Source organism: Homo sapiens, chromosome 5, assembly GCF_000001405.40.
Source record: "Homo sapiens chromosome 5, GRCh38.p14 Primary Assembly".
In the NCBI taxonomy this organism is placed as follows: domain Eukaryota; kingdom Metazoa; phylum Chordata; class Mammalia; order Primates; family Hominidae; genus Homo; species Homo sapiens.
The window spans coordinates 156821116-156827115 of NC_000005.10; positions in this window are offsets into that span (position 1 = coordinate 156821116).

Consider the following 6000-nt stretch of genomic DNA (forward strand, 5'->3'; position numbering starts at 1 on the left):
TTATTCCCTGAAGACAACCATAAAGCCTAAAAATATCACTCTATTTTTCCTCTGCCTTTCTGTGCAAAAACTGGCCGTAAAGACATGATCTGGCCTACCTTGTTTGACTGTAGGTCATATAACCCCATTCCACAGGGGGTTCCACCCCGTACCCAGAAGGACGGAATGCTGCACAGACAGAATCTGATAGACAAGAATCTAGACAAACAGGCCTTGCTGGGTTTCCCCACTCTATTAGCAGTAGATTATACATTTTTGTCCAATCCTATTTCCACACGGCTGTCCATACTTTGTTGAACCTAAGCATAAAAATGGACAGTTGGCCAGGCATGGTGATTCATGCCTGTAATCCCAGCACTTTGGAAGGCTGAGACGGGTGGATCACGAGGTCAGGAGATCGAGACCATCCTGGCTAACATGGTGAAACCCCGTCTCTACTAAATATACAAAAAATTAGCCAGGCGTGGTGGTGGGCGCCTATAGTCCCAGCTACTTGGGAGGCTGAGGCAGGAGAATGGTGTGAACCCGGGAGGCGGAGCTTGCAGTGCGCCAAGATCACGCCACCGCATTCCAGCCTGGGGGACAAAGCGAGACTCCGAAAAAAAAAGCGAGACTCTGAAAAAAAAAAAAAAAAAAAAAAAAAAAAAGGACAGTTTCCCCTGTATCCTGGGTCTTCATTCTGCAGGCTTCTGTGTATACCCATTAAGTAAATATGTATGCGTTTTCTTCAATAAATCTGCCCTTTAGCTGGGCACAGAGGCTTACGCCTGTAATCCCAACACTTTGGGAGGCTGAGGCAAGAGCCCAGGAGTTTGAGACCAACCTGGGCAACATAGGGAGACCCTAGTTCTACATAAATTAATTTTAAAAAAATAGCCAGCATGGTGGTATGTGCCTGTGGTTCCAGATACTCATGAGACTGAGGCTGCAGTGAGCTGTGATCACACCACTGTACTCTAGCCTGGGCAATAGAGCCTGGGCAACATAGCGAGATCCTATCTCAAAAAGGAAAAGAAATGCGTTAAAAAAATTAATCTGCCTTTTGTGAGCTGCTTTTTCAGCAAAACTTCAGAGGGCCAAGGGAACACAACAATAACTACACAACAATGACTAAGATAGACATGAACTCGCTTCCTGGCTTTTGTGTTCCTTAATTTAGACTAATTTTCATTCATTTAACAAACATGTATTAGGTAGCACCTGTTGGCAGGACCTGTGGATTCCAAGATGGGCCAGATAAGGTTACAGTGGGGAGCAGCCCCAGCTATTATAATTCCACATGATAAGTGTGATAAACACACTATGAACAAAGGGGTATGCAACTACTGAAAGAAGTATCCAACCCTTTTATTGGGAGTTGGAGAAAGCTTAACAGAAAAGGCAAAATAAAACTGGCATTTGAGTTGGATTTAAAGAGTGAGTAAAAGTTTGTTAGTCAAGGAAGAGGAAAAATAGCAGTTATCTGAGGAAAAGTTCAGTAGGGCTGGAGTATTCAAGCAACAGGCAGTGAGTAGGGGAGCTGTGCGTGGCAGAGCTTTCCTAACTTCAGGACTGTTTCTTTTGCTGTTGTTTTTTTTTTTTTTTTTTTTTTTTTCTGAGACTGTTTCTCTCTTTTCGCTCAGGCCAGAGTGCAATGGCACGATCTCGGCTCACTGCAACCTCCACCTCCCGGGTTCAAGGGATACTCCTGCCTCAGCCTCCCGAGCAGCTGGGATTACAGGCATGTGCCACCACGCCAGGCTAATTTTGTATTTTTAGTGGAGATGCGGTTTCTCCATGTTGATCAGAGTGGTCTCGAACTCCCGACCTCAAGTGATCTTTAGGAGACATAATTCTTCCTAACTGTATTTAACTACAGACAGTATCATTTAATGTTTTTAATCAAAAATGAAACCAGTAGATTACCTCCAGATAAGAAAAATAACACCAATTCATGTTATAATGTCACTTGCATGCCAAACCCAGGCATCAGGAGTAAATAACTAAAATAATTTTATAAGAAAAGGCTATCAATATGGTTAGATTGGTGTTTTACAAAGATAATGCTAAAAGCAGAGATGGTTAGCTTGCACTATGAAAGCTATAATAACAGAATTAAAGAAAATCCCATAATTTCTGCCAAGATTACATTCCAATCTTAAGAAACCCTCCCTGTCAAGTTCTTCAGTGCATCTCACTTAAGTCTTTCTTGCTGCAAATTAAGCCCATGTACCATCCCTGCATCCTCCTTTATAATTAACATTATTCATTCTGCAGATTATAACAGATCATTTTCCTCCTTCCTAACTCTAGAAGAACTCTTACTAAATAAAATACACCAGAGAAACACAGTGGGTGAACTATCAGATGACTTTCAAACTTAAATGTTAAAAAACAAAAGAAAAAAAAATGACCAATTTGCCTTTCTGTGCATTTGTTGGAGAGTCTATTCCTTCCTAGATAGGAATATTCTTCTCCCAGAGTCAACTTCTTCCTTCATATGACTATTTTTTCTCCTGAACGCTATTGTCTGTGAATATTTGCACAAAACAGACTGTGTTGTCCAATGACAGAACGGCATGTTCTTCCTCACTAACCCCCCCTCCGAGATCAGGAATCCAAAGTGCTTTGCCATCAGCTACATGACCTTGAATAAATGACTGCTCCATCTGTACCTCACTTTCCTAAGTGTCAAATCAAAGTGTCTAGAGTAGGCCATCTCCAAAGCCTGTCCTGTGGCTATGAGTCCGAAAATGGCTCTCTCAGACTTTCAGCTCTCCTGTCTATAAGAGGCAGATTCTCAGGGTTGGGAGAGGCTTCTAGGTGCTTCCCTTCTATGGCTTCCTTCCTAGTACATTCACAATAGAAAATTACCTAGCACTGAAAATTTGTTAGTAATCTTAACTTTCCCAACCTCTCCTAGATCAAATGAGGTTAACTGGATATTCAACATTTCTAGTCTACCATCCCGTCAGACAGCTGAACAATGCATTTTCTTTTCTTTGGATTAAAAAAAAAAAAAAAAAGATGCAGTTGCCAAAGACAAGGAATTCCTATGCATCTCCCAAGGAACTTTCTCTCATCATGCTAGAGCCAATTAGCTCAAACTAGAAGTTGGAGGCAAAATAATTCAAGTTAGAAGATAAAACATCCAAGTTATAGTCCACAGAGATTATAACTTGTTATCCTAGGAGTGTCATATCTGGCCCACAGATGGGTCTTGATTTTTTAAGTTTGAACCAGCCTATGTAAATGACAAAAATTCACATAAAAATCCAGATTTCCCATTTCTCTTGAAAAATCTGAAGATCCCACCTGTGTGAGGACACCCTCACCTCGCTGGCATGTGACGCTGCTGGCGCCTTTATACATTCCCTATTGCCTCCCTCACATGCGGCCAAGGGTTGTTTGAGTTTTATCATCATGTTTTTGCAGTCCTTTTTTAAACCATAGAAGAAATTTTTTTTCTGAATCAGTACTGGAGATAGTAAAGATACACCAAGTGGCCTGATCAAGAAAACAGGAAACAGCAAATGTGTATGCAGAAAAAAGAGCACCCCTTCTATTCATTAGGCTAAGGAGGGTCCACTTGACTTTCCTGCCTGTCTGACCCTAGGGGCATTTAAGTTTGAGATCCTGATGTAGAAATTTGGGAAGCTCAGGGTGGTAGAAACCACCCCTGAACAGGAATCAGCTGTTCCTTCTCCATGACTTAGCCCCTTCATCCACGAACAAAGCTGGTTGTGCTAGATGGTCCCCTCCTGGTTTGGACAGAAAATCTAAGATTCTGTATTCCAACAAAACCCAAAAGTCTCTGAAAAGGACAACCTGATTCAGTTCCTGCCAGGGTAAGTAAAGACAATACTGACACCCAGTGGTCCATTAACCAGCTCCATTTAATGCCCTAAAATTCCCAAGGACTGCTGAGTAAACGTTTAGGTGCTGCCAAAACCTTCTTCATGTCCCAAAGATACAGGAAACAAAAGATCAACAAAAATTAATGACACTGAAACAAAAGATAGCATGTACTGGTTTGTTTTCTAAGCCTCTCTGGTGAGGATCTGGCTATATCTTGTTTGGCTTAAACATATTCATTATATCAAAGCATTTGTATTCAACAATGTATTTCCCTTACATCATGAAAACAAATACGCTTTTAAAAATACAAGGCTTATTTCCCAGGAGGTAAAAGCCCAAATACCCTAAACTGTTTTATAATGATTTCTTTGATTTGTTAATTAGTCTTCTAAACCCTGAAAAGTAAATAATAAACATCTGAGATTATGAGGACAGGAACTCCATTTGACTAGTTTCTGTGAGGATCTCACCACAGCCTCACATCCTTAAATTTGGAATAATGAGGTTACTACAGCAGTGAAGGCCGAGGCAGAAATGGCAGGAAAAACACATTTTGAGAACGTCTTTCACTTCCAATAGGCTAATAACTACCAGAGTTTTAAAATCAGCACGATCTCAAATATAACACTTGATGACATTTAGTCTGACTGTTGATTGAAGTAAAATAAAAGAGTAAAAAAAAATGTATTTTAGTAATTTTTATTTCACATTGAACGCTTTTGATTTTGTCAAAAAGGATAAGTGGCCTGGCCTTCCAATGCTGACATAAGCTGACATCTCATTGTAATACTTTAAATCAGACTTCAGAATATGGCATTGGTGAGCAGCGTGGGAAGACTTCATGCTAGTGAAAAAAACACCCAAGGAACGTGCCTTTTTGTTAGTGAAAAAGGCAACAGCTGGTATCATGACACAAATGAAAGGCTCAAGACAGACATTCAGGTAAAAAAAAGTAAAATGACTCACAGACTCCCTGTCCTGTCATACACAATGAAACTAGTGGAAAAAATAGAAAAATAAATAAATCAGCCACAACCAAAAAAGAGAATTGAATGCCATAATATGCAAAAGACAGTGGCCAAGAAAGGAGGCTGGCTCCCAGAAGGTGCTGAAACTCCCGAGACTGTTCCTTGATACTCCCAAATTGGATAAGAAACGCAAGGAGGATGATGTCCTCTTTGCCCCTTTTGATTTCAAGGAAGTACACAGAAATGGCCTGAGGTGGGGAAAAATGAAAAGAGAAGAGAATAGTCAAATCGACCCCCTTGTGCAGAAGCGCAGGCTACTAGACTCCATGCTAAATTGGGGGAAGCATTTAGAAGGTATCACCCTGCACTTCATTAAGTGGAGCAATCGCAGGTTTAGGACAGAAAACAAAATGTAAGAAAGAGGAACAGAAACCAGTTCCTGTAAGAATGATTGCACCCAATCCTAGCTGACTGTTCCCTTGCCCTACCCCATCCACAGGCTAGAGAGAGGGGGATGGAAAAACCCCTGAGCCTTCCAGCTGCAGCCAGAGGATGAGGCTAGTCTCAGAAAATGGTGGAAGGAGGGCTCGAGAGAATTCATTCAGAACATCAGAGGAGGAAGTAAGATACAGAGCAGATCTCTTAGAGAAGAGTAATGCAAAAAGAAATAATGTGTTAACCTGAAAATATCCAAGGCAGCACAGCATAAAAAAGAAATTAAAAAGATGAATATTTGGGGGCCAGGCTCAGTGGCTCACACCTGAAATCTCAGCACTTTGAGAGGCCAAGACAGGAGAATAACTTGAGGCCAGGAGTTTGAGACCAACCTGGGCACCCTAGCAAGACCCCATCTCTACAAAAAAAATTTAAAAAATTAGCCAGGCATGTTAGTGCAGACCTGTAGTCCCAGCTACTCTGGAGGCTGAAGTGGTAGGACTGCTTGAGCCTGGGAGGTCGAGGCTGCAGTGAGCTATGATTGTGCCACTGTGCTCCAGCCTGGGCAACAGAGTGAGTCACTGTCTTTAAAAAATAAATTAATAAAATAAAAATAAAAGAATTCTTCAAGCTTGGGGGCAGAAAATGAACTCAAAACCTCTAGTAATCTATAACCCCTCCTTAAAATAAAGAGAAAAAATTGTTTGTTGAAATAATGAAATCCAGCCAAGAAATCAAAATAAAGACCTCAGCTGTAGAG